At 41.1% G+C, this 27,907-nt stretch overlaps 1 protein-coding gene and 1 pseudogene across 5 annotated transcripts in view, besides 1 other annotated feature; one reads left to right on the top strand and one right to left on the bottom strand.

Moving 5' to 3' along the window:
- NTN4 (netrin 4) overlaps positions 1–16,989 on the top strand; it is a 133,349-nt gene extending 116,360 nt beyond the window's left edge. For 3 of the 4 annotated variants that reach the window (NM_001329701.2, NM_021229.4, NM_001329702.2), the window contains exons 8-10: positions 4,650–4,718; positions 8,816–8,986; positions 15,574–16,989. In NM_001329701.2, coding sequence (NP_001316630.1) covers positions 4,650–4,718; positions 8,816–8,986; positions 15,574–15,710 — 377 coding nt within the window. In that variant the 3' untranslated portion in view covers positions 15,711–16,989. The remainder of the gene's footprint in view (positions 1–4,649; positions 4,719–8,815; positions 8,987–15,573) is intronic. The other variant, NM_001329700.2, reaches the window with a different exon arrangement.
- On the bottom strand, positions 797–25,541 carry PGAM1P5 (phosphoglycerate mutase 1 pseudogene 5; annotated as a pseudogene). Its single transcript, NR_077225.1, has 5 exons — positions 25,390–25,541; positions 9,020–9,113; positions 4,248–4,305; positions 3,655–3,776; positions 797–2,518 (listed from the first exon to the last, which is right to left on the bottom strand). The product of NR_077225.1 is annotated as a phosphoglycerate mutase 1 pseudogene 5 (transcript).
- Positions 20,609–20,903: a silencer, noted in NCBI's record as "tiled region #15569; HepG2 Repressive non-DNase unmatched - State 8:EnhW". NCBI's record gives its function as "represses a minimal TATA promoter and a strong SV40 promoter by Sharpr-MPRA in HepG2 cells {active_cell/tissue: HepG2}" and the evidence as "EXISTENCE:reporter gene assay evidence [ECO:0000049][PMID:27701403]".
- Positions 25,542–27,907: the final 2,366 nt, after the last annotated feature.

The following is a 27,907-nucleotide window of genomic DNA, read 5'->3' as shown; positions in this document are numbered from 1 at the left end:
ATTGAGGAAGACTTTATTGAGTTCCCTGCATTGGGTATAGAATGGTGCTTCTGAGCACCTTTTTCAACAAGTGTTCTAAGCACTGAAAACAATCTACCTACCTATATACCTCCCATAAGTTTCCATAAAAACAGCTTTCAACTAGGAGTATAATATACTTTACCAACAAAACACCCTTAATTTCTACCACTTCTTATACCAGATGTAAAATTTCACTTCCTAAATAACAAAACTGGCCTTAACTAGTACCACAGAACTGTAAACAATGCTCTTTTTTTTTTTAATGTCCTAATAACCTAGCATAACTAAACAAGCTTTTCTTCCCTTCCAGATTTCTTTTAAGAAAACACATCTGGGCTGAAGCCTGATCAACAAATATTGTTTGAGCTCTAAGCATATGAAAAAGAAGTATTGGAAAGCAGCCAAAGAAAGGTCATCAAACAATAGACCTATGTCTGCTCTTCTAGGCTGAAGGGTTAAAGAGAAAAGCATTGTGTTGAGGAACAGTATATGCCATTTGGAGTTCCATTAGGTTTTATAGCACAGTAGTTACTGTACTCTTCTGCTTTGTGGAATTATCAAAGGCCATAGGCTATTCACTTAGGTTACTACAATTTCTTTTCTTTTTTTTTTGGCAGAGTCTCACTTTGTTGTCCAGGCTGGAGTGCAGTGGTGCCATCATGGCTTACTGCAGCCTTGACCTCCTGGGCTCAAGCAATCCTCCCACCTCAGTGCCACCAATGCTCCCCTCCACGGGTAGCTGGGACTACAGGCACATACTACCACACCAGGCCAATTTTTTTAATTGCACATAACTCCTTTATTATACTCATTCCTGGAGAAAGGATTTAGTACAGTGATGCTCAAATGAGCACTGGACCCATGTGGCCGAGCAACTAGAACATGATTCAGAAATCAGTCAGTGAAAGACACACTTGGACAGGACCAAGAGGCATTTTACTGCCATGAAACAAGGCAGCAGAGGGATTCTAAAACACACAGCAGGAAGCACTCCTACTCCTCTGAGGTCAAGGAGCTTATCCCATATTAGTATGAGGAATGGCTTACTTTCTGATGACCACATGTGGGACTATTTCAACTGCCACAAGAGATCCGAGAAGGATTATGGTTTTGTATTATTTATATATACTATACTTTTTTTTTTTTATAAAAGTAAATGTAACACCTAAGCTAAATTCAGGATTGATCCCAACCTTCTAGAGCCATCTCCTCTGGGGTCAGGGAGGAAACAGCTGTCACATCACCATGCGAGTTACATTCATCTTCCACTGGAATGACTAGAGCTCCCAGGCAGTGGCCTGACTACAGAAGAGCAGAGGACTGGCTCTTGGGGACAGACAGGCTCTCTTGCTTCTCCTCATTGGTCATGGCTTAGCATGGTTCCTCCCCCACAAGTTCTTAGTAAACAAAGCGGTCGCAAAAACCCAAGTCACTACCTTTAAACTCTCTTGGACAAGGGGAGCTTTTCCACAGCTTGGACTGAGAACCCATGCCCTAGAAGTGCTATTCTGACTAGAATGAATGAAGGGAGTGGGTGCAGGAGACAAAAATGGCTAAAACGAAAATGGGAGCCACTGGTCCTCATCTGCAGCTACAGCTCAAGATGCCTACAGATGTGGTCAGTGTGGCGTGTGCAGGAGGGATGAGCAGAGGGACACACCAGGCAAGGAGGGTGCTCCTGGGGACAGTAGTCCGCCCGCCGGCCTTCACTTCTTGGCCTTGCCCTGGGCAGCCACAGCTTCCATGGCTTTACACAGGGTCCCTTCATCCCCCAGGAACTCCATGCACCTGATGGGCTTCGAGCTCTTGTCCAATTTACAGACAATGGGAATACCAGTCAGCAGGTTCAGCTCCATGATAGCCTCTTCAGAGAGACCTTCCAGATGCTTGACAATGCCCCGGAGGCTGTTGCCATGGGCTGCAATCAGTACCCATTTCCCTTCCTTGATCTGGGGAACTATTTCTTTATTCCAAAAGGGCAGAGCGCTGGCAATAGTGTCCTTCAGACTCTCACAGGAGGATAGCTGATCATCTGTGAGGTCTGCATACCTACGATCCTTACTGATGTTGCTGTAGAAAGGATGGTCAGGCTCCAGCAGGGTGGTGGGACATCATAGGAGCACCTCCAGATCTTCACCTGGGCCTCACCATGCTTTGCAGCAGTTTCTGCTTTACCGAGATCGGTCAGACCCCCATAGTGCCGCTCATTGAGGCGCCAAGTCCTCATTACAGGTGGGCCACATCTGATCAATGGCATCTAGCACTGTCCAGAGGGTCCGGGTCGCTCTCTTCTGCACTGAGGTGAAGCAGATGTCAAACTCATAGCCAACATCTAGCAGCGCCTGCCCGCCTGCGCTTCACCTCCTGGTGGCCTGCCGGGCTCAGGTCGGAGTCGTACCAGCTGCTGAAGTGGATCTCCAGGTTCCATGCACTCTCCATGCTGGATCAGCACCAGTTTGTAGGCGGCCATGGCGGCGGGCTTGGGAGGCAGTGCCAGCTGGGGTTCAGATTCTAGAATCACAGCCCGCCCCCTGCCCCCGCCTCCCCTCCCTCCCCCCGCCCGCCCCCCGCAACCCGACCATTGCGCCTGCGTGCTCGACAATTTTTAATCTTTTTTGTAGAGACAATGTCTTACTACGTTACCTAGCCTGGTCTTAGACTCCTGGGCTCAAGCAGTCCACCCATATCGACCTCCCAAAGTGCTGGGATTACAAGCATGAGTCACCACACCTGGCTGCTCACTCTTTTATCTCTATAATCTTCCCAGATTTCTACCTATGAGAATATTAAATGAGTAAATTAATGTAAAATGCTTAAAACGGCCTGGTATACAGTAAGTGCTCCTCAGTAAGCACTAGCTGCTGTTATGACCACTCAATGCCTATGAAATGCAGTGCATGAGGGCAGGAGGGGGCAGGAAAGGGGAAAAAGTATATCTAATTGTTAAATCAGTGAGTGCAAATCCTATCCATGCTGGGCTCCAGAAATGTAAGGTTGATAAGATATAGCCATTGTCTTGAAGGGACACAGTCTAGAGAGGAAACGAATATATAAATGAGTATGAGAATGCTATATATCTGTGGTCCCCAACCTTTTGGGCACCAGGGAGCGGTTTCATGGAAGACAATTTTTCCATGGATGGCAGGGGCAGGGGATGGTTTCAGGATGAAGCTGTTCCACCTCAGACCATCAGGCATTAGATTCTCATAAGGAGAGCACAACCTAGAGCCCTCACATGCACAGTTCACAGTAGGGTGGGCACTTTTATGAGCATCTAATGCCGCTGCTCATCTAACAGGAGGCGGAGCTCAGGCGGTAATTTGAGTGATGGGAAGTGGCTGTAAATTCAGATGAAAATCAGCTCTCTCTCAAGCTGCTCACCTCCTGCTGTGTGACCCGGTTCCTAACAGGCCACAAACCAGTACCAGTCCACGGCCAGGGGTTTGGGGTCCCCTGCTACATATAAACTATGTACAGGCTGGGCGCAGTGGCTCACACCTGTAATCCCAGCACTTTGGGAGGCCGAGGCTAGTGGATCATCTGAGGTCAGGAGTTCAAGACCAGCTTGACCAATATGGTGAAACTCCGTCTCTACTAAAAATATAAAAATTAGCCAGGCGTGGTGGTGTGCACCTGTAGTCCCAGCTACTCAGGAAGCTGAGACAGGAGAATTGCTTGAACCCGGGAGACAGAGGTTGCAATGAGCTGAGATCACGCCACTGCACTCCAGCTTGAGTGACAGAATGAGACTCCATCTCGATAGATAAATAAATAAATAAATATATACATACATACATACATACATACATACATACATACATAAAATAAACTATGCACAAAGGCATTTTGAAAGTCTTCCATAGGGCCTGGCAAATCTCTCACATGTAATAGTGGCAATATATAATTTAAACTATTGGGAGAAAATATTCTACTTATTCTTCAAAGTCCCTTTTAAATCCTTCTTGATCCAAGAAGTTTTTTCCCATCTTCCCAGACACATGTGACTCTTCCACCCAAGTATATTGTACCTCTCCCAGACCACTTATCACTTTATCACTTTTTGTACACTTGGTTTCTTCACCTTACTGAATTGCAAGCCTTAAGGCAAGAATTGTATCTTGCTTATCTTTATGGTGCTGAAGTGCGAAGCACCATGCCTTGCATACCAAAAGTGCTCAATAAATACTTTTTAAATGGATAACAACAAAAAAATTGAACGACATTACCTTCAAGGGACTGCCCAATCAGTTTATTTAATTTCACTTTTGTGGTGGTGAACATTAACTGCAGAAAGACAATTGTTTTCCATTCAGTTTTTCCTTCCTGTTAGCATGGAATATTAATACTAGACTGTATTTATCACAACATCAATTACAAGCATTGAAATACATCACTGTTTCTACCTTCTGTATTTCTCTTGGATGAATACTTTATTGGAAGATAACTAATTTAGAAAGAGACTCTACTTCTTTTGAATGACTTTCGTGGTTCCTTGGTACTTACAGATTACACTGTATGCATCACTCAAGGCTTAAGGGATGTGTTATCTGGATACACTTGCTGATCTCTTATTTTTTCTTTCTTTGCTTTTCTAATAACTAACACCATTTTTAATTTACTTTCCATAGGTAAATGCGAATGTAAGGAACAGACATTAGGAAATGCCAAGGCATTCTGTGGAATGAAATATTCATATGGTGAGTCTGAAATCCTTGAATGCTTCTGAGAACCTATTCACACTAAGTTCAGAGAATTTTTAAGAAAATGGGAGGCCTGACTGATGACATTGTGTATAAATGAAAGCACAAAGCATTAGTCTTACATAATAACACTAAACACAGTGTTCTGGTCTTGAGCTAGATTTTCCTGATGTAGTTGGTGATGGATGTCCCAGGGAGGACAGAATGCTTGTAGAGCAAAGGTAGAGTTATTATACCATAAGAAAAAGAGGCAGAGAGCAGAGAGAAGAAATCATGACATGAAATCCTTTCTCGTGGATACTTCTTGCCTTATTCATCCAAAAGGGACATTTCTAGCCACTTCAGTGACTCTTGTGTTCGTTTGTCGTACAGTAATACTGAGTAGAAATCAGTTTAAGGCAGCATTTCATTATAGTTGAGAGCACAGGCTTTGGACTCAGACCTATGTGAGTTTGATTTCTGGCTTATTGGTGGGAGACTTAACCTCTCCAAATTTGTTTCCTCATCTGTAAAATAGGGATCATGCCACCTTCCTCGTGGAATGAGATGTTTGAAAAGCATGCAGCACATTATCTAGCACATATTTGATGCTCGGTAAATGGTAGGGGGAGGGAGATGATGTCTTACTTGTGAGGCACTGAGACCAGCTGTCCACCTGGGTCTCTTCCCCACCCTCTCTGTATACTCTAGATACCCCTATCTTTCAAATAACAGGAAAATACATCCTGTACAAAAAGGGAAATGGCACTGCCTAAGTAAAGACTGTTACTATCTTCAAATGGCTTTATATTTACTATTAAATATATTAAGATATCATATCTTGCCAACACATTCTTGCCTAGTGTCTGAGACTTTTTTTTTTTTTTTTAGACAGAGTCTCGCTTTGTTGCCCAGCCTAGAGTGCAGTGGCACAATCTAGACTCACTGCAACCTCCACCTTCTGGGTTCAAGCGATTCTCATACCTCAACCACCTGAATAGCTGGGATTACAGGCATATGCCACCACGCCCACAACCTCCACCTCCCAGGTTCAAGCAATTCTCCTGCCTCAGCCTCCCAGGTAGCTGGGACTACAGGCATGTGCCACCATGCCCGGCTAATTTTTGTATTTTTAGTAGAGACAGGGTTATCCCATGTTGGTCAGGCTGGTCTCGAACTCCTGACCTCGTGATCCGCCTGCCTCGGCCTCCCAAAGTGCTGGGATTATAGGCGTGAGCCACCACGCCTGACCTAATTTTTGTATTTTTAGCAGAGATGGGGTTTCACCATGTTGGCCAGGCTGGTTTTGGACTTCTGACCTCAAATGATCTGCCTGCCTCGGCCTCCCAAAGTGCTGGGATGACAGGCGTGAGCCACCACACCCAGCCTGAGACTTTTTATTGGTCTATAATATATATGGCCTGAAATATACACTACAATGAGGAGAAAATTTTAAGTCATCATTTATGAAACCAAGTATTTAGGTTCTGGATAACATTGTCTCTAATCTCATACAAGATTTTAAAAAGTAAATAAGTGGTAAAAACCTCATGAATCTTATCTAAAATTATATGTACACTTCCCTCTCTACTTTCTAACTTGGCTAAACAATAGAAGAAAACTTGAAATGTACAGCGCTCAATAAAGGAAAGGCAGTTTAGAGGGAATGGCATTGACTATTAAGAGCAAAGAATATGATAATTTAGTTCAAAGTCAGTTCATTCAGTGAAAATATCAACTGGTTTTCCTTATCACATCAACTTGGTAGCTCTCTGAATTTACAAATAACCAATCTTTTAATACAACTGCATTAATTTTCTACTTAAGAAGAATTTGAACGCTCTTAATGTAATGAAACATCTTGGTCTTATTAAGTGCAATACTGCTAAGACTTGGAAAAAATTGGTTTCCTCCTCCCCATTCCCTGGCTTAATAGAAAAAAAAAAAAAAAACACTTGACTTACTTGCTTACTCCTTTAGCAAATATCTATTGAGCAATAGAAGTGACAGACAAGGTCCCTGCTCTCTTTTAGCTTACAAGTCTAGTGGAATAATAATAGCGAACATTTACTGAGCGTTAGCCACACGCCGGGCACTATGCTCCCTGTCCTTCATGCATTTATCTCATCAGGGTTCTAGCCCAAACTCTACCTCTAGCCAACCAGTTATGTGAACTTGAAAGGTTCACTTTATTTATTTGTTTTATTTATTTATTTATTTATTTATTTATTTTTGAGAGATGGAGTTTTGCTCTGTCGCCCAGGCTGGAGTGCAGTGGCGTGATCTGGACTCACTGCAACCTCTGCCTCCCAGTTTCAAGCATTTCTCCTGGCTCAGCTTCCCAAGTAGCTGGGACTACAAGCATGCACCACCACACCCAGCTAAATTTTTTGTATTTTTTAGTAGAGACAGGATTTCACTGTATGTTGGCCAGGCTGGTCTCAAAGTCCTGACCTCAGGTGATCCGCCTACCTCAGCCTCCCAAAGTGCTGGGATTACAGGCATGAGTCCCTGCACCTGGCCTTAATTTCTTAAAACTTGCTTCCTCGTGTATAAAATACATGAGCTTTTAAGACCCCTTAGAAGTCTAAAATGTGATGACTCCATAAAGATAGCTGTCTGACGCTGTATTCGCAGAGTATGAGACCAGCCAAGATAGAGTGCTCTCATTACACACACTCTTCCATGGAGATGTGGATAAGCCGATAAGAACTTCCCTGTGAAAAAATATATATATATGAAAATTAGCCGGGCGTGGTGGCCTGTAATCCCAGCTACTCGGGAGGCTGAGGCAGGAAGAATTGCTTGAACCTCGGAGGCGGAGGTTGCAGTGAGCCAAGATCGCACCATTGTACTCCAGCCTGGATGACAGAGCAAGACTCCATCTCAAAAAAAAAAAAAAAGAACTTCCCTACGTTCCCTAGTGTTCCTGAGTAGCTCAGTGATCCTTAGCTTTACTTTCTTTCCGACCCCAAATTATTCCATTACTTAATCCCCAGCCATATCAATTTCATCAATGGGAGGGCGTAATAGAATCATAAGTCATACAGAATACTGGAGCTCCATCATCATGCATGGGTGTCCAGCCCTTTGAATGTGAAGACTTTTTGGTTTATCTGTGGTGGCGGATATCACAAAAATTATGCACAGACTTTTTGTTTCAGTTCATCAGCTATCATTAGTGTTAGTGTACTTTATGTGTGGTCCAGTGTGGCCCAGGGAAGTCAAGAGGTTGGACACCCATTAAGGGACAGCTTCCCTAACTCCAGTCAGCTTGCATTTTATTCCAGGAGAAGAATATTAAGTAGTCAATCATATTATATAATCTCTTTGGAATATGCAAAATATATTCTAGGAGTAGCATTTTTCTCTCTATCATAACATTAAACACAATCAGCCACAAAAGAATAATATAGTCAGAACCTAAATAAAAGCCAGGATAATTCTACTTCCTATGTTTCCTCTCTCTGTTTAGATGTGGTAGCTGAATGTATTTAAGATTATAATTGCAATAGGCAAATGGTTGATATTCTCTTAGGATAATGATATTGGAGGGAGTCACATTTGAAATTGCCTAACAAATAAGAATATAGTTAATATAGATAAACGAGATAAAGCCAGTGCAAAACTGAATGAGCCTATGATTTTTTTAATTCAGTATTTTTATTTTATTTTATTTCAATAGTTTTGGGGGAACAGGTGGTTTTTGGTTACATGGATGAGTTCTTTAGTGGTGATTTCTGAGATTTTAGTACACCCATCATCCAAGCAGTGTACACTGTACCCAATATATAGTCTTTTATCCCTTATCCCCTCTCTTCCCCCTGAGTCCCCAAAGTATATTATATCATTCTTAGGTCTTTGCATCCTCATAGCTTAGCTCCCACTTACAAATGAGAATATAATGAGGTTTGCTTTTCCATTCCTGAGTTACTTTCCTTAGAATAATGGCTTCTAACTCCATCCAAGTTAATGCCTAATGATTTTTAAAGCAAATTTTCACATCCTCATCATCAATTCACCTTTCCATTATATTCTGAAATGCATACTTGAGTGTTATTCAAACTTCAAATGATAATATGAAATTCTATGCATTTTGACTTCTGTGTTAACAGTGCTAAAAATAAAGATTTTATCAGCTCATGATAAAGGTACTCATGTTGAGGTCAATGTGAAGATTAAAAAGGTCTTAAAATCTACCAAACTGAAGATTTTCCGAGGAAAGCGAACATTATATCCAGAATCATGGACGGACAGAGGATGCACTTGTCCAATCCTCAATCCTGGTGAGTATTAGACTTTCCTATCTTAGTACCTACCTTGTCTCTGCTGATTTGCTGCTTGTCTTACATCCTCTGAAGCACAACATAAACAAACTCAGCAAGAACATCTCTCCCTTTCACCATCTGACTCCTGCGGAAAATCCAAATGGAATTCTTTGAACTAACATCGAAAAATTATTTCTCTTCCATGTGCTCTATAAAAGTTTAATATTTTAAAATCCAGAAATATAATACTCTCTATCCTAAAAGAGGAGGCTCAGATTGGTTCCAGGTGCCAGTTGCATAGAAAGCACTTTCATGAATTTATCTGCCACTTACTCTTTATCTGAAAGCTAGGTCCTATTACAGTAGAACCTGTTCCCAAAGGAAGTTCAAATGCAAAATTCCATCTGTGGAAATAATATTGAATTCATTTCGACTATTGCTTGAAAAGCATCTGTTTCTCTTGGAGAGAAAACAGTTCTCAAGTTCTCATCATCTTGTTTTTCATGAAATGATATTTCTGGTTTCAAATTAGAAACAGCAGAAATAAACAAAACAAAAACTGTAGGATTTTAGAGCAACTTGAAATGGAGAGAAATTTGATTTGCACCTTTAAATGTTATAGCAGAAGTGAAGACAAATAAATAAGCACAGGGGTTCTTGCCCCAAGCGCATGGTTATCCTGGGTTATAAGCTGCTTATTTCTCTGTCTCCCTCATCAAATTTGAGGATGGGATTTAGGCTTTTGATCATAGTATCTTCAATACCTACCATTAGTACCCAGATAATGGTAACATAATACTTAGCAGGTTCTAATAAAACAAATCATAATTCAAAAAATCCTCTGCATCTCCCTGCTTGTGTGATTGTCATCTGTGTCTTAGCGGCACTGATGAAACAGGTGCATTATTTATGTTCTTCCCCATATAAACTCATTGTTTATATGAGTTTATTCCTTCCCCATATAAACTCATTGTTACATTAATAAGAAGTCTTTTGTGCCCAACCTGGCCAACACAGTGAAACCCCATCTCTACTAAAAATACAAAAATTAGCCCAGTATGGTGGTATGTGCCTGTAGTCCCAGCTACCCAGGAGGCTGAGGCAGGAGAATCACTTGAACCCAGGAGGCAGAGGTTGCAGTGAGCTGAGATCGCACCACTGTACTCCAGCCTGGGTGACAGAGCAAGACTCCATCTCAAAAAAACAAAGTCTTTTGCGGTCTTTGATTGATTAATAAATTTGAGAGAAGCAGATAACTGAGAGAGAAAGAGAAAGAGAGCATAAACTAACAATAAAATATCCCCTCAGTCTAAACAAACTCAACATTGATACAGAACTTTTGATTTTGGCCAAGTGTTGACCAATCTCTCACATCCTTTTCTACCCTTTCAATAATATATTTAAATTAATTTAGATTTTAATAAGGAAACTGTGAAAAATAATGTTTTAAATTATATAAATAAATAAATAGACTGGGCATGGTGGTTCACGCCTGTAATCTCAGTACTTTAGGAGGCCAAGGTGGGAGGATAGCTTGAGCCCAGGAGTTCAAGACCAGTTTGGACAACATAGTGAGACCCAGTATCCACAAAAAATTTTTTAAATAATTAGCTGGGTGTGGTGGCAAATTCCTGTAGTCCCAACTACTTGGAAGGCTGAGGTAGGAGGATCACTTGAGCCGGGGAGGTCAAAACTGCAGTGAGCCATGATTGAGCCACTGCACTCCAGCCTGGGCAAACAGAGCAAGACCCTATCTCAAAAGAAATTAAAAATACATAAATAAAATTCCAAAGAACAAATTGAAGTAATAAGAATCCTGAGCTTTGAATACAGGACACTAAAAATAATTCATGTAAGTTCTATTTCCCAGTGATTTGTGCTTAGAGGCATCTCTTATAAGAGCTTTCCTACTGTCTTGGCAAAAGAAAAAAAAAGTCTGCCCAGTTTAGTGAGACATTAAAAACAAAAGCTTTGACCATGTGAGCCACCCTCCAGGAAGTGAACTATACTTCCTAATCAGGTTTCTGCCAAGCCAAGTCAAAGAATCAACTGAGTTCATCACAATTGAAAACATAAGCGCAATTATTTAAAGAATTCTTGAAAACATGTTTACTTGCTTTGAAGAAAAGACTGGAACTTGCCAAAGCAAAACCAGACACTCTTTCATTTTACTTTGTTTTTCCATTTTTACAAGTTCAACAGCCAAGGCCAAAGAAAGCTGATAAGAAAACTGAAACCTTACACGCCAACCTGCTTCCTTGGCTACTTTGGAAAAGAAACAATCCTATTGGGTATCCCTGCATATTCATTCATTCTTAATTCATGCATACATTTACTCATTCATCAGTCATATATTTTAGAACACCAAAACTAGCACTAAAGTATTGTATCTTCTTTTTCTATGGATACAAAATAAACTTCGTGTTCTCAGACGTGTAGCAAAGTAGATGTCAAAACCCTAGAGATAGGAAAATAAAATATAAATGCTAATAAGAGGTATAAAAGAACATTGTTTTGCATATTTGTTTTTGGTGTGATGCTGCTTCATAATTTATGGTTTTATTCAGTATTGTTTTTATCAATTTAACTTATATTTATACTTTAATGGTAAATTCCTGTTTATTCTATTTGTAGTTTCAAAGTAAATTCATGTAAAAATACTAGACTTAACCCTGAGATTGATTTCTTTCTTTTTTTTTCTTTTTTTAAAGACAGGGTTCTCTGCTCTGTTGCCCAGGCTAGAGTGGTGGTACTATCACTGCTCACTGCAGCCTCGACCTCCCAGGCTCAAGCAATCCTCCCGCCTCAGCCTCTTGAGTAGCTAGGACTATAGACATGCCACCAAACCCAGCTAATTTTTGTTTGTTTGTGTTTTTGTAGACAGGGTCTTGCTATGGTCTCAAACTGGTCTCAAACTCCTGGCCTCAAGCAGTCCTCCCACCTCGGCCTCCCAAAGCACTGGGATTACAGGCGAGAGCCACTGCATCCAGCCCTAACCTTGAAGTTTCTTAAAAATTGATTATTGTATTTTTAAATGAGGAGTTTATTATTTTAGACATTATACAAACAATTTAAGGCTATTATATTTTTAACTAGTCTGTTAATTAAATATTGAGATTCTTTTTCATGCAGAAGTTAAGGTTGCCTTTTATAATTTAAATGCCTTTTCATTCATTTTACATTGTACTCTCCAGTGTTTGAAACCTCTCTGTGTCATTATTTTCCTTTTTCTCTTTTTCTGAAAACACCATAATAGCTTTTTTGAAGTTTAGGATGAGTTTCTTTTAATAATCTTTTAGCAGGGTGCAGTGGTTCACACCTGTAATCCCAGCACTTTGGGAGGTTGAGGTGGGTGGATTGCTTGAGCCTAGGAGTTCGAGGGCAGCCTGGGCAACATGGTGAAACCCCATCTCTAACAGAAAATACAAAAATTAGCCAGGTTTAGTGGCATGAGCCTGTTGTCCCAGCTACTCAGAAGGCAGAGGTGGGAGGATTACCTGAGCCTAGGGAGGTGGAGGCTACAGAGTTCAGATGGTGCCACTGCACGTCAGCCTGGGTGACAGAGTGAGACCCTGTCAAAAAAAAAAAAAAAGAAAGAAAAAGGAAGAACAGAAGGAGAGGGGAGGGAAGGGGAGGGGAGGGGAGACGTTTAGGGGAAATTTTTAAATTTCACATTTCTATCCCCCAGAGATCATCTCTGTTAATAGCTTAGGCAAATCCTTTCCAATCTTCCTCTGTGTGTATGTATTATATTTTTTAACCAAAACGATATCATAGTATATGCTCCATTCTGTAACCTGCATTATTCTGTTAATAAGCTTTACCTTCAATTTCAGTTGATTTTCATGTTATCTAATACTCAGGTCATATTTCTATTTCCCAACTGATCCCAAAATGTCCTCTACAGCTGATGTGTCCTTGCCAGTATTCAATCCAGGATCACACGTTATATCTAGTTTTTCAGTCCTTCAACTCTTTTTTTATTCTAGCACAGTTCCTTTTTTATGACTTGTTGAGGAAACCAGGTCAGATGCCCTATCCATTATCTGACCATCAACATTTGTGTGGTTGGTTCATTTATGGTGGTGTTTAGCTTATTCCTCTATCTCTTCTATCTTCTGTAATCTCTAAAGAAAGGCTTGATTGATTCAAGACAAACATTTTGGCTAGAGTCCATTATAGAGATCATGGTGTGCTTCATGTTGAATCATGTCAAATGCACATGGTACCTGGATAACCTCCCATCAGTGTCTCTAAGCTTGACCTTTGGATTACAATGAAGGCAGTCTGATCTCTCCATTGCCAAAGTTTTGTTTTACCTTTAGAGATAGAAAAGAGTGAGTGTGATATTATGTAGCATTCTACAAGCATCCAGCTTTCCATTAATCATTCATTTAATGACTTTATCGCCAACTGATAATCCTTTCCTGAATCAATAATTTCATTAGAGTCTGAGAAATGATGTTTTTCTAATTCTTTTGAATTCTCTTCTCTTATTAGCTGGCATTCTTCCGTAAGAGGGCTTTCTCTCCCAAGCTGGGCAACTAGGTTATCATGAAATACAGTTCTTACTGTAAAGACAGGATAAATGCTACATTCCTTCCCTGTAATTTCTAATTTTCAAAGTAAGAAATGGTTTTAACAGCTACCTCTAAAGATGACAAGTTAATTTTTCTCTGGCTTTCTCATTTTTTAGTGTCATTTTGGAATTATGGATTTCTATGGATTTAATGTGTTTTCATAAACACAATTATTATGTTTCTTGGTGCTCAACTTACCACAACTTTGACAAGTTATAACCCCTTCCTGCTAGCTGCTGTGTCCTTTTAAAAAGACACACATTCATCTTTGAAAGCTTTCTTGTTTTTTAATACAATAAGATGTCCCATGCTCAACTTCCTGCCCTGAACCTGGAATAAGCCGTTTTCCAAGAGGCCTGTATGGTTGTTACAGGTGTTCATTACTACTTGGATGACATTTTTTTCTCAGTCATTTCAGTGAAAAATGAGCAATGAATCAACTTGTGAAATTAAATTGATATTTTCAGTTGAATTTTAGCATCTAGCATTCACTTAATTTCGTTTTTAAAAGTGTGCCTCTATTTTATATTGGAAAGTTTTTATTTTATAAACATAATTATTTTATCTACCCTATAATTTTTAAAAATCGTTCCTAAATACCAAAATCTACGTTATTACAAACATTAACTAAGGGCAATTATTGTATTTCTTTTTACTAATCTATAGGTGATGAGACTGTCCTTTCATTTCTTGGATATATTAGCTAAAATTTGTTATCTAAAGCTTGAAACGAATTTTGAATACAAGGTCATCACAAGATCTAGGCAAGTTTTATCATTTATTTAGTTTTTTTTTTAATGTATGACAAACAAACATCCTATTCCAAAAACACATAGGCTTTATATAGGGAATATGTGTTATTTTCTAAATTCATAGCTTCTTTCCTATATGTTTTCCCAAATGCTTGTTTCACTTTTATAAAAATCCTCCTTAGGCTGGGCACAGTGGCTCATGCCTATAATCCCAGCACTTTGGGAGGCCGAGGCAGGCAGATCACCTGAGGTCAGGAGTTCGAGACCAGCCTGGCCAACATGGTAAAACCCTGTCTCTACTAAAAATAACAAAAATTAGCCAGGCATGGTGGTGCATGCCTGCAATCCCAGCTATTTGGGAAGCCGAGGCACAAGAATTGCTTAAACCCAGGAGGCAGAGGTTGCAGTGAGCCAAGACGGCACCCCTGTACTCCAGCCTGGACAACAGAGCGAGATTCCATCCAAAATCAAAACAAAACAAAACAAAAACAAAAAAAAAACCTCCTTAATATACACTACCATACACAGTGAGTATCCAAGATGTACTGATCTAGGGCAGTATGATAAGTGTCCTTAGAACCCTCAGTTCTTTTGTCATAGAGCATGGTATAGTACAAAGGAAAGGTTCTAGACTCAGCATGACCTGAGTTTGAGTCCAGATGCTGCTATACTTACAAAAAGATATCGAACAAGTTTCTTAGCCTTGCTGAGCCTCAGTTTCCTCATTTGCAAAACAAGAAGGAAAAAATTATCTACCTCACAGGGTTATTTTCAAAGCTAAATGAGATCATACATGTAAAGCATACATGCACTAAGCATAGTAAATGCTTACTAAATGGCAGCTATTAATGTTTCTTACTCCTTATTCCAACCCTGAATATATAAAACTGCTGGAGTCAGGCAGGCGTGGTGGCTCACACCTGTAATCCCAGCACTTTGGGAGGCCGAGGTGGGCAGATGGCTTGAGTTCAGGAGCTCGAGACCAGCCTGGGCAACATGATGAAACCCCATCTCGACAAAAAATATGAAAAAATTAGCTGGGAGTGGTGGCGCACAACTGTAGTACCAAGTACTTGGGAGGCTGAGGAGGGAGGATTACCTAAACCCAGGAGATTGAGGCTGCAGTGAGCCAGGATTATGCCACTACACTCCAGCCTGGGTAACAGAGCAAGACCTTGTCTCAAAATAAATGCAAAAGAAAACCTGCTGGAGTCACATCTCTCCCTTCAACAAAGTATGATACTGTATAGCCCCTAATTTTGTTCTTTTTTAGGTTTGGAATACCTTGTAGCAGGACATGAGGATATAAGAACAGGCAAACTAATTGTGAATATGAAAAGCTTTGTCCAGCACTGGAAACCTTCTCTTGGAAGAAAAGTCATGGATATTTTAAAAAGAGAGTGCAAGTAGCATTAAGATGGATAGCACATAATGGCACTTGTCTATGTACAAAACACAAACTTTAGAGCAAGAAGACCTCAGACAGGAAACTGGAATTTTTTAAAGTGCCAAAACATATAGAAATGTTTGAATGCATGGGTCTTATCTAACTTATCTCTTCTGGACCCATGTTTAAATACAGTTTTATTTCATGAAGAGAAATGAAAACCCCTACACTGATATCTGTTTTCTATGGGACTGATTCTGAAATTCTTAACTATTAAGAATATTTTAATAGCAGCATGACATTTAGCAGTAATCCATTAAGGGCAGTACCTCTAACAAGGACGCCTTCCAGCTTCAGCGATGTTACTTACGTTTGATGCTACTTAAAGTAATGAATGACGTTTTAAGGAATCCCTAACCCTACTATCAGAAAAGGTGTTTGTTAAAGAGCCTTCTCTTGTGTGTTACGCATGAACTTTGGTCTGTAGGTGTTAAATGGAACCTCTCCATGTGTATATAGTATTTCCTTGTATAAAGCACTTTACTACCTACCACTTGTGTTGTGAACGTTTGGTGACTGCTGTTGAAAGAAGGAAAAGGGTGTGTGAGAAAGCCTACTGAAGCAGCAGCACTGCCACTACATGTGGACAAAAGTGACCATATAAAAGAAGTTGTGCTATTTAACTCTGAATACTTGGAGAAACTAGGTGAAGATGCAACCAGAAAGGAGAATATGTATGCGTGAAGTCTCAGCTTTGAGCTGGAGGCTAGATTCCAAGATGACAGCCATGATGAAACTTTTTAAAAAACTAAACCAGAAGAGACTTTAAAATAAGAGAAAGAAATCATAAATGTAGACATATGCTTGGCTAAAGGGGAAATGGACTTTAAATTTTAAAGAGCTCATTTGCAATGCACTTGTATACACTTCAAAAATTATTGTAGACACAGAATTTGTTATATTTTTGTGCTTAGTATTTAAACCTGAACATTGAAACAGTTTTCCTCCTTGTCTTTCTTAACAGTAATAGTCATTATATTTACCTGTTTTTTAACACAATGTATGTGATAGTCAAAAAATCACAGTTTTTCATTATTATTCATCTTCTGTACCCACGCATAACCACTATACATAGTTTCTTTTGTACTTGAATATACAAAACATGAACACAGTGCCATATGAATAATTTCACATACAGAACCTTTTTTTCTCTGAAGTCCTGTGGACTTGCAAATATATATATATATTGCTTTGTTAATTTGTTTTTATATTTCATATATGTAATAAAGGAATATGATCTGATTTTTGTCTCATTTCTTAACTCTTTCAGTGATGCTAAAGATTATCTTCTCATAATGAGGGAACTTAAATCTAATTCATTAATATAAGAAAATAAAAGAAGACCCGACTTTCTGTTACTCCGGGGTTTTGGAATGGAGTGGAAGCTAACTCAGATGGATTTATTTTCTGTAGCCTTTAGACACAAACTTTTTTCATCAGATACATTGTGATTTTTATATTACATTAATTTTAACTAATTTTAAAAGTAATAAATGTTCATTGTTGAAAACACAGAAAAAGCATAACGGGAAAAAAATATTTATACGCCAGCCATCCTGGGATAAGAGCCATTAGCACTCTGGTGTCTATAACATAGACTGTTTTCTGTGCATACATATGTACGTTTTATATCATTGGAATTATACTAAACATAGTCTTATGAAATCTGCTTTTTCACCTGCAGCATGTCTCTTAGCTTCTTACCTATCCTATCTTATCCTGGTAGGTGGACCACTATCTAGTACGGTTATCATTTAGAAGCAACTTATAAAACATGTTGGTAAGTATAGCATGCCAAAAAATATTTTTTAAATACATCAGATACAGAATTTTCCATTTCACTTTATTTAAAATAACGAATACCCACTTCAAAAAGAGTAGAAATTTTTGTTTTGTTTTGTTTTGTTTGTTTTGTTTTTTGAGAGGGAGTCTCGCTCTATCCCCCAGGCTGGAGTCTCGCTCTGTCCCCCAGGCTGGAGTGCAGTGGCGCGATCTCGGCTCACTGCAAGCTCCGCCTCCCGGGTTCATGCCATTCTCCTGCCTCAGCCTCCCGAGTAGCTGGGACTACAGGCAACCGCCAACACGCCCGGCTATTTTTTATATTTTTAGTAGAGACGGGGTTTCACCGTGTTAGCCAGGATGGTCTCGATCTCCTGACCTCGTGATCTGCCCATCTGGGCCTCCCAAAGTGCTGGGATTACAGGCATGAGCCACCATGCCCGGCCAAAGAGTAGAATTTTTTTAAAAAGAGTAGAAAAAAGTCCATAAAACATTAAGTTAAAAAAATCGCAGAACATACATAATTAGCCCCACCCCAAAAACACATTTATAGTATATATAGTGTTTTTAAAGTTCTGAAAGAGGGCCAGACACAGTGGCTCACAACTGCAATCATAGCACTTTTAGAGGCTGAGATGGGAGGATTCGTAAGGCCAGGAGTTTGGGACCAGCCTGGGCAATGAGTGAGACCCCCATCTCTTAAAAAAAGAAAAATAGCCAGGTATGATGGTGCCCACCTGTAGTTTCAGCTACTCAGGAGGGTGAGGCAGCAGGATGTCTTGAGCATAGGAGTTCAAGGTTACAGTGAATTCAAGGTTACAGTGAGCTATGATCATACCACTGTATTCCAGCCTGGGTGACTGATTAAGACCCTGTCTCAAATACATAAATAAAAGTTATGAAAGAGAGACAGATTATAACAGTATTGGTCCCTGTCTGGCAAAGAATGAAGGAGATTTTTCCTTTCTTATTTTACATACATTTGTATTGCTTGACTTTCTTTCACTAATCATGTACTACTTTTGTAATTTTTTTTTTTTTGAGACAGAGCCTTGCTCCATTACCCAGGCTGGAGTGCAGTGGCCTGATCTTGGCTCACTGCAGCCTTCGCCTCCCGGGTTCAAGCAATTCTCCTGCCTCAGTCTCCCGAGTAGCTGGGATTACAGGCACTCACCACCGCGCCTGACTAATTTTTGTATTTTTAGTGGAGACAGAGTTTCACCATGTTGGCCAGGTTGGTCTCGAACTCCTGACCTCAGGTGATCCACCTGCCTTGGCCTCCCAAAATGCTGGGATTACAGGCGTGAGCCACTGCACCCGACCTGTAATTTATTTTATAAAAAAAAATTTAACCAATTGTTTTTAAAGTGTGTTCAAGTAAAATCAGAACTGAAAGTTTAATTTTTTCTAGTTTACCAAATTGTTGGGTCCCAGTGTCTTCCCAGTCCCCTTTGACTAGAATCTGCTTCCTTCATTGCTCTTTCAAGTACCTTTTCCAGCAACATTCAAAAAGATAGGTTACTATTAAAACCGTTTCTTAAGGTCTTAATTCTCAAATCACTTGCAGCCTTCCAGTGCAGTTTTAAATTTCCTATGAGCATCATTTGGCTTCCAAAGTGGAAAAAAAAAGGAAAAGGAAAAGAAAGAAACCTTATGTTCCCCATTTTGTAAATGCAAAGAAGAAAATGGAGCTGTCCCCCTCATGACCCCATTCCCATTCCCATCATCCCATCATCCCAACATGCCATCATCCCAACATCCCAACATCCCATCATCCCAACATCCCATCATCCCATCATCCCAACATCCCAACATCCCCACATCCCATCATCCCATCATCCCAACATCCCATTATCCCAACATCCCATCATCCCATCATCCCAACATCCCATCATCCCAACATCCCAACATCCCATCATCCCAACATGCCATCATCCCAACATCCCAACATCCCAACATCCCATCATCCCAACATCCCATCATCCCAACATCCCATCATCCCAATATCCCAACATCCCATCGTCCCATCATCCCAACATCCCATCATCCCATCATCCCATCATCCCAACATCCCCACATCCCATCATCCCAACATCCCAACATCCCATCATCCCAACATCCCATCATCCCATCATCCCAACATCCCAACATCCTCACATCCCATCATCCCATCATCCCAACATTCCATTATCCCAACATCCCATCATCCCATCATCCCAACATCCCATCATCCCAACATCCCATCATCCCAACATCCCATCATCCCAATATCCCAACATCCCATCGTCCCATCATCCCAACATCCCATCATCCCATCATCCCAACATCCCCACATCCCATCATCCCAACATCCCATCATCCCATCATCCCAACATCCCAACATCCTCACATCCCATCATCCCATCATCCCAACATCCCATTATCCCAACATCCCATCATCCCATCATCCCAACATTCCAACATCCCATCATCCCAACATCCCATCATCCCATCATCCCAACATCCCAACATCCCAACATCCCAACATCTCGTCATCCCAACATCCCATCATCCCATCATCCCAACATCCCAACATCCCAACATCCCAACATCTCGTCATCCCAACATCCCATCATCCCATCATCCCATCATCCCATCATCCCAACATCCCATCATCCCATCATCCCCACATCCCATCCTGCCATCCTGCTACATGCACTTTCTCCTCCTTAGCCTCTTTCAAAATAACCATCTTGGTACTAAGGCAACGGAGTCAAATAAGATTTCCATCTATGGCTTCAGTGGAACCTCAACACTTCCTTCGAGAGCTACTGGGAAAGTCTCTGCTCCTGGACCTTTACTCTGTGTGCCGCTGGGCTTTATTAGTCAGCACTGAGTTTCATAATTGCCACATACCTATCCATGTGATTTGCCTGAGGTCAACACAGTCTTACCCTCTTCTTACATCATTTTCCCTGTAGAGGAATCTTACTAATATTTGCTATTTGATGCAATGGAAATTCTCAATAATAGGATAATCTTTTAATAGTGTCCTCTAAATGAGGTCAAATCTGTGGGGATATGACCATGAGCCAAATAGCAGTGTCCATCTGGCTCTGTTAAACAGAGAGCAAGGCCTATTATGGGTAAACATAGTTCTTGGGGACACTTTAGGTTCTTGCAAAACAAATCCTTTTCTAAACGATCGGAGATTTACCAATTCTAAAGGGTGGGAAAAACAACCTTGAAAATGTCTCGTGCTGGCTGTCCCTCTGCCACTCCCCTGGAATGCCTGAGAACAAGAGTGAGCACCGCCTGGCCCGCTGAGTTTTGTGAGAAGTCCCAGGACTGAATCGCTTTTGTGCTCATTGTTTCAATGATAAGCAGTCCCTGAGCCTAACTTTATCAAAGGGCCAAACTCACATCTTATTTCCCACAGTTTGGAAGGAAAACATTTATGAATAACATCAATTTTGCAAGAGAGATTGGTATGATAAAAATGGAATAGAAGCAAAAGGGTATGCCTCAAATGACTGACAGTTTCTTTTTTTAAGTCTCTCAGAAAATGATTTGTCTGAAAATACTTTTTAAAAAATGATTCCCTAGTCCCTGTGTTCCTACACTTTAACCAAAGAAATGTAAACATGTCTCTACTGTTTGAGGATTACTGATTGTGTTTGAAATGTGCATTTTTTTAAATGACAAATTCCCAGATTTATTATCAGTCAGTTTATGTATGTGAATAACTAAAAAAGCAGAATGTTAGTCATGAGAAAGAAAGAAATATGCACTGGGATAATAGATATTTCCAGAATGTGAGATGTATGTTCCATTAAGAGAGGGTTTTGGCCAGGTGCGGTGACTCACGCCTGTAATGCCAGTACTTGGTGAGGCCAAGGTGGGCGGATCACTTGAGCCCAAGAGTTTAAGACCAGCCTCGGCAACATAGGAGGACCTCATCTCTACAAAACCCACAAAAAATTAGCTGGGTGTGGTGGTGCATGCCTGTAATCCCAGCTACCTGGGAGGCTGAGGTGGGAGGATCATTTGAGCCTGGGAGATCAAGGCCATAATTGCAACACTGCACTCCAGCCTGGGCCACAGAGTGAGACCCTGTCTTAAAAAAAAAAAGGAAGAGTGTTTTGGTAAATGCTGAATACGTTTCTAGTTTCTTAGTATGTCACAGGCAGGGAAACATGTTCCAAAGTGTGATCATTAGTAATTAATTTATTATTAAATCCAAGAATATCCAAGATTTACTAGGAATGATTTAATCATAGTGTGCCCATGTGACCAGGGGGGAACAGCAGCCAGACAAGGAACGCTGCTTCCCAAAAAGCAAAACAACCACTGTTAGCAGATTTTCACAGTATCGGTTAACTATTCTGCCCAGAAACTCCCTGGATGCCTCCTCAGCTAGGACACTACCAAAGATTTCAAACTTGGTGAATAAAAAATAATCCCAGCACTTTGGAAGGCCAAGGTGAGAGGATTGCTTGAGCTCAGGAGTTCGAGACCAGCCTGGGTAACATAGTGAGACCACGTCTCTCCAAAAAAATAAAACAATTAGCAGGGCATGGTGGTGTGTGCCTATAGTCCTAGCTATTCAGGAGGCTGAGGTGAGGATCACTTGAGCCCAGGAGGTCGAGGCTGCAGTGAGCCATGATCTTGCCGCCATACTCCAGCCTGGGCAACAGAGCAAGACACTGTCTCAAAAAAGAAAAAATATATCAATGCTAGCAAGCAGCAATTAAGAGTTTACTACATGCAAGGCACTTTTCTTAGTGCTTTACAGGTGTTATCCCCATTTTATGCTCCTAACCACCCCTGAGGTGCATGCTATTATTATTCCCATTTCTCAGAGGAAGAAACAGAGGTGCAGGAGACTGATTAAATTGTTCAAGGACAGTCAGATAATAATTGTGAAGTCTGAATTTGAACCCATGCATTCTAACTCACAGTGTTCATATTTCAGCTCCTAAAAGGGCATTCTTGCATTTAGAAAGGAGTCCATGTGAGATAATGCCAACTGCACCATTTTCCTTCACGCCTGTTTCTTTAGTTGAGGGAAGAGAATTGAAAATCAGCATTTTCTTCCGGTTTTTTTTTTACACACTCCAAATTGTAATGTATTCTATCATACCACTATGTGGCTGTGTCATTTTCTACTCCTTCCTATGGTTACAGCGCCATCAGAGTAATGCTGCCTAATGTCATTTATATTAAGAGGAAATGGAAATGGTAAGAGTCCCTTCTTTTTTTTTTTTTTTTTTTTTTTTTTAATTTTTTCGAGACAAGGTCTCACTCTGTCACACAGGCCGGAGTGTGGTGGCGTGATCACAGCTCACTGCAGCCTCAACCTCCTGGACTCAAGCAATCCCCTTGCCTCAGCCTCTTGAGTAGCCTGTGGTCCCAGCTGGATGCACGCCACCACACCCAGCTGATTGTTTTTTAATTATTTGTAGAGACTGGGTTCTGGCTATGTTGCCCAGGCTGGTCTCGAACTCCTGGGCTTAAGCAATCCTCCCTCCTCAGCCTCCCAAAGTGCTAGGATTACAGGCATCAGCCGCTGCCCAGCAAGAGTCTCTTCTTTACCTTTGCCCTTTTCCTCTTGGTCTGATTTTCTGAGGTCGATTTTGGCAGAAGGTCCACTTTTGCATGTATCAGTAATGATCTTGAATGAGCAACTATGAAATTCAACAGCATTTCAGATCAGTCCTGTCAGCTCTGACCTTTGCTGTATAGAGAAATTCTGCTTGCAAGATGAATGAGAAGGAATTACACCAGAGAGAGACAAGGAAATGGGAAAAAATAGAGAATGTAGGCACTTTGTCAACCAAGGGGAGGGAGATAGGGGCAGGAAACAAAAGATAATGATATAAGAGAATCAAGGAAAGCAACAGCTAGAAAAAGGCAGTTTGCAGGTGGTGGAGGCTGCAGTGAGCTGAGATGACACCACTGCCCTCCAGCCTGGGCAACAGAGCAAAACTCTGTCTCAAATTAAAAAATAAAAATAAAAAAAGGCAGTTTGTTCTAGTAAAAATATGCAGAATATTTCAAGGTAGAATATATTCAGTTAATCAATTCTTCCATTGCTAGACACCATGATTTATGTAAGGTATTTCTGAATATTTATTACAAAAATTTTCCATCTAATTTTCCTGCTGTTAATTGTGTTTGAAGAGCCAGAAAAGCTACAGAAGGTGAAATAATACAGAAACCGTAAACAATGGTAACCAGGAAATTAGGGAAACCCATTACTTTTACCATATACTAAAATTGATTTTTTTTTTTTTAGACCGAGTCTTAATCTGTGGCCCAGGCTGGAGTGCAGTGGCACGATCTCGGCTCACTGCAACCTCCGCCTCCCGGGTTCACGCCATTATCCTGCCTCAGCCTCCCGAGTAGCGGGGACTACAGGCGCCCACCACCACGCCCGGCTAATTTTTTGTATTTTTAGTAGAGACGGGGTTTCACCGTGTTAGCCAGGACGGTCTCGATCTCCTGACCTCGTGATCCGCCCGCCTCGGCCTCCCAAAGTGCTGGGATTACAGGCGTGCGCCACCGCGCCCGGCCCCACAGCTGTTTTTAATGCAGAGACCCAGGCCTCTACCTCAGAGAGTCTTGTTTCCAAAGGTCTAGATGGGGCCCGGGGAGGGAGATTTTCATAAGCACCTGTGGTAACTCAGATAGAGGTGGTCTACAGACAAGACTTTGAGAAGCACTGCTCTGGACACTTTTACAGAATAGACTCGACAAATCCACTTGGATTTGTCGGATATGAATCTACTTGGCCTTTGTCACAAATATTATTTTATGAATAACAGAATCATTAGTCCTGTTATGGTTACCCCAAAACTAAGATGATGGAAAAGGAAAATTGAAAGAACCTCACATAACAGCCCTGTAGAGTCGGTAAGAGAGATTCCTTAAAGTCAGTCAGAAAGGAGATTCCTCTGGCAATTATGTACCCTTACTTCCTAACCTGGCCTTGTATAGACCTGTGAAATACCTAAATTTGTCTTTGCTATCTCTACCCCTCAATCCACTTTGTACAATCTCTCCCCAGCTACCTGTCGACTTCATCCTGCACAGGGTGTACACCAAGATGCTGGACAAAGCTCTCAACTCCCAACTTTCCCTCCAGCCTCAGTCTACTTACTTATCAAGATGTTACTCTTGACCAAGAGATTGATAGGTTCATAATATAAATCATTATAATGCAATACTTTCCCACTTTCCCACTTCCCAATTTTCTCCTAACACAATGCCTTCATGACCCAAAGAAGCCAGGCATGTCTGCAAACTTTTTTTTCTTTCTTTTTTTTTTTTTTTTTGAGATAGTCTCACTCTGTCACCCAGGCTGGAGTGCAGTGGAGCAACCTCAGCCTCAGCTCACTGCAACCTCCACCCCCTGGGTTCAAGCGATTCTCCTGCCTCAGCCTCCCAGGTAGCTGGTATTACAGGCGCCCGCCACCACGCCCGGCTCATTTTTGTATTTTTAGTAGAGATGGAGTTTCACCATGTTGGCCAGGCTGGTCTCCAACTCCTGACCTCAGGTGATCCGCCCGCCTCGGCTTCCCATAGTGCTGGGATTACAGACGTGAGCCACCATGCCCGGCCTGCAGAAAACATTTTAATGGGTGATTCTAATCATAGGTATTTCAGGCACTGGTGGCAGGCCAGTGGTGGGGATATTTTTGGTCAGATGTGCCTTTCAATGCCTCATAAATCAGGCTGCCTAGGCAGCTTTGTAATTTTCCCTTAGGCAGTAGCAGTCCTGCACACACACCCCATTGTAACCCTCAGAGGCTTAAGAATAAGGAGAAAGGTGAACAGGAAGTAACATTGAGAAAGGAAAACATGGAGAGTGGATTCACTTACCCTCTCTCAGAAATGTACATTCAAGCCACAGATAAAATAAGAGAAATCCACACGGACTCCACACTTTTCCTTCCCATTCCTGTGAAAGAGAAATAAAATCCAGGATAGCATTTTTTTGGTTACATATGGGGAGAAAAATCAAGGAGATGTACACAACTCGCATCACAGCAAACAGAATTCCTTAACATCAGAAACACTCTTACATACCAACACTCTCTTACACATGGGGACTTGCTGGGCAGTGACCTTCAGTGACCTAGCTTTTGATACCAACTGAGAATACACAACTGGATATTTTTATCCGCATGTTTTCTGCCTCTCTGATAAATGTTATACTAAACAGTGGGAAGCAAAAATACAGTGAATGCATTTTTTCAGACCATATTTACAAGTACACTTAATTTGCACGCCCCCAAATTTTATAGGTTTCACCAAATGCTTCAAGAGAGAAGATTAAGTTTAGGAACAACCTGCCTCTCCAAGTTTTCACTTGCCCCGAGGTTATTATCCTACCAGAACTGGCTAAGGCTCTTTGAGAAGTAGTGTTTAAAGCCTCATATTGTTCAGGCTTACATCTATAATCCCAGCACTTTGGGAGGCTGAGGCAGGAGGATCCCTTGACCCTAGGAGTTCAAAACTGGCCTGGGTAGCATAGGGAGATCCCACTTAATTAATCAAAAAAATTTAAAAATTAGCCGGGCATGGTGCCACGCACCTATGGTCCCAGCTAGTTGGGAGGTTGAGGTAAGAGGATTGCTTGAGCCCGGAAGATCGTGGCTGCAGTGAACCATTATTACGCCACCTAACTCTAACCTGGGCAACAGAGTGAGCCCCTGCCTCAAAAAATAAAAATAAAATTAAAGTTGACTTTTCGGGATTCAATAGCTTTATGAAATGTCTTTTCCTTTTGTAAACACAAAATAACACACGTGTAAGAACAAAACAACAAATACCTTAAGACATCACGAGTAATTTGTAATCTACAGATCTGTAAATGAATAAATAAATGTATAAACTATCAACTTTTTTTAAGACAGGGTGTCGCTCTATCATCTTGATTGGAATGCCGTGGCAAGATCACAGCTCACTGCAGCCTTGACCCCCGGTGGCTCAAGTGATCCTCCCACCCGAGTAGTTGGGACTACAGGCATTTGCCACCATGCCCGGATAATTTTTTTTTTTTTAAGAAGATATAGGTTCTCCCTATGTTGCCCAAACTTAATCTATAAATTTTTGTGGCAATAAACAGATGCTTCCGCTTTCTAACTCTCCCACTGAATAGATAGTTCATTATGTAAATTCCTTACTGAACTGACATGATTTAAGGAGAGATAGGGTTGGGATCAGCATTTTCAGAGTGTCAAACACCATCACAGTCATCATCTCAAGGAATCCTCAGAACAACTTTGAAGTTGGGATTATTATTTCATTTTACAGATGAAGACCACGAGATTAAGGGGAGTAAAGTAACTTGCCATAGGCCAGACAGCTAGCAAACTAGCAGAGCCAAAACCTATAGGTGTTAAGTTAATGAATAAACCTATAGGTGCTAAATGAGCAAATGAAGATCTACAATCCAACAACACTATATCTGCCTGATTCCACACCCTACGCTCCTGCAACTACATCACACTGCTTTAAAGCTCTGAGCTCCCGAACAGTGTCATTTGTTGGATTGTAGATCTTCATTCGTTACTTTAGCACCTATTTCTTGTCAGCCTCCTGTGCGATAGGACCAGTTCTAGGTTCTGGAGATATAGCAGCGCATGACACAAAATCCCTACTCTGCATTCTACACTCTCCATTCTAGTGGGGGAGGTCCTTCAGAAGATCTCTCTAATAATCCCCGCTCTTTCTCTCCATTGTAGGGCTTCTTTTGGGAGTGCTCAATGCCCTAAATGGATTCAGAGAAGTATTTTGTTTCCATCACTAAAGGGAAAATTCAGAACAAGAGACCTCATCCTCTTGATCGTATTGAATACTGTTTTCCCCCAGGTGACTTGAAAGCAGTCAATGACTAAATTCTCCAGAGTAGAAAGCTGTTATAATTGGACAATGGCCACAAAACAGGAGTTTTTGAGTTACACTTAATGCCCAGGAGGAAGCAGCAGAATTCTTCCTCCCACCACCCATTACCGAGCTGACAAGGTCCTGCTCTGTGCTGCGCTCGTTAATTTTCCTTTTGGCTTTAAAGATTTACAACAGCTCCTGTCGGCCCCCCATGTGAGAGAAAGTCAGGGATCCCTGCCCGCCCAAGCCATGGAGAGCTGGCTGGCTTTGTTCCCCACAAGCCTGCCAGGAGCTCCTCGACTCCCGTCATGGTAGCTTGGGAAGATTCACTTGCCTCTGTGAGAAATAACAGTGACCATAAAAGAAAAAATAAATTCTAGGCATTCTTTCAAGCCTTTGGGAAGTTCCGGCACATTCCAGCTGCGAAAGAATTCAAGTCTCTCCACTCATGTCAAAGCTCCAGCCCCTTGCATGTGTGCTTTGCACATTTAATAGAACCAAGCCTAGT

Source organism: Homo sapiens, chromosome 12, assembly GCF_000001405.40.
Source record: "Homo sapiens chromosome 12, GRCh38.p14 Primary Assembly".
Lineage (NCBI taxonomy): Eukaryota > Metazoa > Chordata > Mammalia > Primates > Hominidae > Homo > Homo sapiens.
This window is presented reverse-complemented; position numbering and strand designations above follow the sequence as displayed.